We start from the raw sequence: 3,870 nt of genomic DNA on the forward strand, positions 1-3,870 counted from the left end.
AACTCCTGACCTTGTGATCCGCCCGCCTCAACCTCCCAAAGTGCTTGGCATTACAGGTGTGAGCCACCATGCCTGGCCTGCTCACAGGTTTTACAAGAGGGGACACTGAGGCAAAAGTGTCCCATGGAGGCTGTGCTGCTGACAAACGGCAGAGCGGCTCCTGCCATTCACCTGCACTGTATCTCGGGCTTTGCTTTGGTCTACTCCATAAACTTCCTGAAAAAGGTTTCTTTGAAAAAGTCCAAATTTGTCCCTAATAACTGAAGGGTAGAAATGTGAAATGGGCCTACTCTGGGATCAAGACCACCTGGGTTCAAACCCTAACTTGGAAGCTCTGGGCCTTGGGCAACTAACTGGCCTCTTTCAAGTTCAGTTTTCCCTCCTGTAGGTTGAGAGGTTTCAACGAGACAACACAGATGAAAGGCACAGCCTGGCCCCCAGCATGCAGGCCAGTGTTTGGTAATTGATAGTTTTCTCTCCTGTTTCACTATCCTAGGTCCAAAGAACCAGAAGAGTAGACAGTCCTTAGAGACAGCAGCTGTGCCGGCTGCAGAAATGGAGAGAGCTGTGAGCTAGAATAGAAGAAGAGAAAGGCCAAAAACCACGGAGAAACAGAGCCAGACAACACAGAGGTGAAATTCAGAAAGCGAGTCCAGCACTTGGCTGAAGTTACAGGCCCTTCCTGCCCTGCCCTTTCCCACCCAAGGCCATGCCTAGTTCATGTTACTAAGTCTAAGAAACAGCTCCAGAAGTGGCATCTCTGCTAACCACTAGGGAAGATATTGTCGTTTTTTAATGATTCAAACTCTCCAGGGAACCAAGAAGGCTGAGGGCGCTGAGTTCTCTCCACACACCTGGGCTCAGGACTCCCCCAATATCTACGTGCTTTATTCCTGATCTTAACAGGCTCTGAAAGCCACATAAACCCGTGCTTGCCTGGGTACCAAAAGACCCGGGCCCGGGGGTCTTTGTTCGGGCTCGGTGCCTTCTCCATCTAAGCTTTCTTGGCAGTGTTACTCTCCTCACACTGTTACTTGGGTTCTCACTTTCTGTTCTTGAGTTAATGGATGTTTGTTTTCCTGAATTCACGGGTCCTTTGTAAGTCTTCTATCCCATAACGTAAGATGGGGGTATAAACAAAGAAGCAAGCGCTAGCTGACCTTATGTGGGGCATGGTTAGGGAACAGGAATTCCCTGTATCCAGCAGGGTTAAGCTGGTAGGAGGAAAGGGAAATGAGAGAAAGGAATCAAGAAGTGAGAAAGGGAACCAGTACCTGTCAACACCAACACACACCTGGTAAGTAGCAGGGCTGGTCTTCAAATCCAGGACTATGGGGCCACTGCATGGGAACAGAAGCAGCTTGTAGACTTCGGTGGTGGGGCTGCCAGAGTCGGGGAATTAAGGGAGGACAGGCTCTGCAGCCCAAGTGCCAGATGCCAACGGCCTGCGAAGGCTCTAGGACCCAGCTCCAAATCAGTGCTCCCGGCGCCATCCAGTGGCCATTAGGGAGATTGCAAGAGAAAAAAGCATGAGAAAAGAAACCCCAGAGAAGCCAGTGCCTGCCAACTCCAGGGAAGAGGAAGGAAGGAGCCTGGCCTTTGCCCTCAGTGCCCCCTATCAGTTGACTACCCTGCTCCAGTTTGACCTCCCCACTAGGCTTCTTCCTGGTGCAACTGATGTTTTCTCTCTGTGTGACCTTGGGCAGGCAACTCTGGCCTCTAGGCCTCAGTTTCCCCAACTGTAAAATGAATGGTAAGGCAAGGTGAGGTCACATGCCAAGTCCATAGGTCTTTAGCTCATCTGATCCTCATGGCCAGGTAAGATGATCATTCCCATCCCCCCATACTCCAGTCCCTCCTGACCACGCATAGTTCAAGCTTCACTCACCTGTAAAGTCTTCCATGGCCTCCTGCGGAAATTCCAGCCACCGTTTAAGGATCACCTCTCCAGGATTTCTCCCTCCTCTCATCTGAAGTTCCCTCTTTCTGCAACAGTCAGGTGGACCTCAGCCCTTCTAGCCCGGAGCTTCCTCAGCTCAAGAGTTTTTCTCAATCATCAGTTTCTCCCTCTTCACCAAGCCTAGCAAGGTGCCCGGCACAGAGTACTTAAGAGCAGCTGCTCTGAAGTCAGTCAGCCTGGCTTCAAGCCCCATGTGGTAGGCAGAATGGCCTTCCCCACAAAGATGTACACATTTTAATCCCCGGCACCTGTGATTTCACCTCACACGACAAAAGGGACTTTGCAGATGTGGTTAAGATAGAGAGCTTGAGGCTGGGCGCGGTGGCTCACGCCTGTAATCCCAACACTTTGGGAGGCTGAGGCAGGCGGATCACCTGAGGTCGGAAGTTCAAGTCCAGCCTGACCAACATGGAGAAACTCTGTTTCTACTAAAAATACAAAAAATTAGCTGGGAGTGGTGGCATACACCTGTAATCCCAGCTACTCAGGAGGCTGAGGCAGGAGAATCGCTTGAACCCAGGAGGCGGAGGTTGCAGTGAGCCGAGATCGCACCATTGCACTCCAGCCTGGGCAACAAGAGCAAAAACTCCATCTCAAAAAAAAAAAAAGATAGCTTGAGATGGGATTATCTTTGATTATCAAGGTCATGCCAATATAAACAGAAGGGTCCTTATAAGACAGAGACGGGAAGGTCAGAGTCAGAGAAAGAGATGTGCTGATGGAAACTGAGTCTGAAGTGATGTAGGGCCATGACCCAAGGAATTCAGGTAGCCTCTAGAAGCTGGAAAAGGCCAGGAAACAAAAGCCTCTAGAAGGAATAAAGCCTTGCCAACACATCTTAGACTTCTGACCTAAAAACTGTAAGGTAATAAATGTGTGTTGCTAGCCACTCAATTTGTGGTAACTTATTAGAGCAGCCATAGGAAACATCCTGGTTCAGCTTCGTACTGGTTATGTTACTGTTGGAAACTTAACCTTTCTGTGTCTCAGTGTCCTCATCTGTAAAATGGGGATGATAAAGGCAATAATTCTTATTTCACTGGTTCCAAGTATAAAATGAAAATACCTGCAAATCAGTTACAATAATGCCCAACACTAAATATGTTAGCTGTTACTATAAGAACAGTTAATAGCTACCATTAATTGAGGGATAGGTACAAGGCACATGCCTTAGAAGAATGTCCTTGATTCTCCCCATCACGCTTGGGGGTAACAATTCCAGTCTCCACTTTGCAGATGAGGAAACAAACACAAAATAATTTTCCCCAAATCACTCTAGGACTGGAAGCATTTTAAACTTCGTTGTTTCTTACATGCACTCGGGAAATGGTACTGGTTTGTGTTCTTTGCTGATAGAGGTGTTTTGGGAGGGGTTGATAAGATGACAGAAGGAAGGCCACAGGCTGGACAGACAGGGGTCCTAGCTGATACCTCCTTCTCTTCCTACCTAGTGCAGGAGAGAGTTAAAATCGGTCAAAGCTCATCTATCCACTCCCACCCCATCCATTTAGGGGTTCAATTACTGCCTCTCACTTTCCCACCAACGCCACCCCCGCACCCCTTACCAGCGCTCAGTACTAGCAGCTTTTGAGCCAGATTTGGGGGCATCATGGGATAGGCGTGGCCGGGAGCGAAGCGTTCAGTCCGCTGGGGAATGGAGTGGCGCAGACTTACTCAGACCCCAAGGATTCCTGTTGAGCCCCCTCCCTTCCCGCAGCCTGCATAAGGAGCCATCTGTTCTCGGCTGAATAAACAAGCAGGGGGAAGCAGCGCCGGGTCTCCTGCCCCCGAGCCCGACCCCCGCACAATGCGCCTTTCTCCAAGGAGACGCCGCCCGGGCGCCGCCACAGCACGCTCCGTCTGGCTTCCCCTCCCCCAGGCGGCGCAGCAAGACCCAAAAACGGACCCCG

At 50.2% G+C, this 3,870-nt stretch overlaps 1 long non-coding RNA gene across 1 annotated transcript in view; it reads left to right on the forward strand.

Annotated features, from left to right (window-relative positions):
- LOC105372630 (uncharacterized) overlaps positions 1-773 on the forward strand; it is a 59,516-nt gene extending 58,743 nt beyond the window's left edge. Inside the window, exon 3 of the long non-coding RNA XR_936763.3 lies at positions 497-773. This is a non-coding gene — a long non-coding RNA (uncharacterized LOC105372630). The remainder of the gene's footprint in view (positions 1-496) is intronic.

Source organism: Homo sapiens, chromosome 20, assembly GCF_000001405.40.
Source record: "Homo sapiens chromosome 20, GRCh38.p14 Primary Assembly".
NCBI lineage: Eukaryota > Metazoa > Chordata > Mammalia > Primates > Hominidae > Homo > Homo sapiens.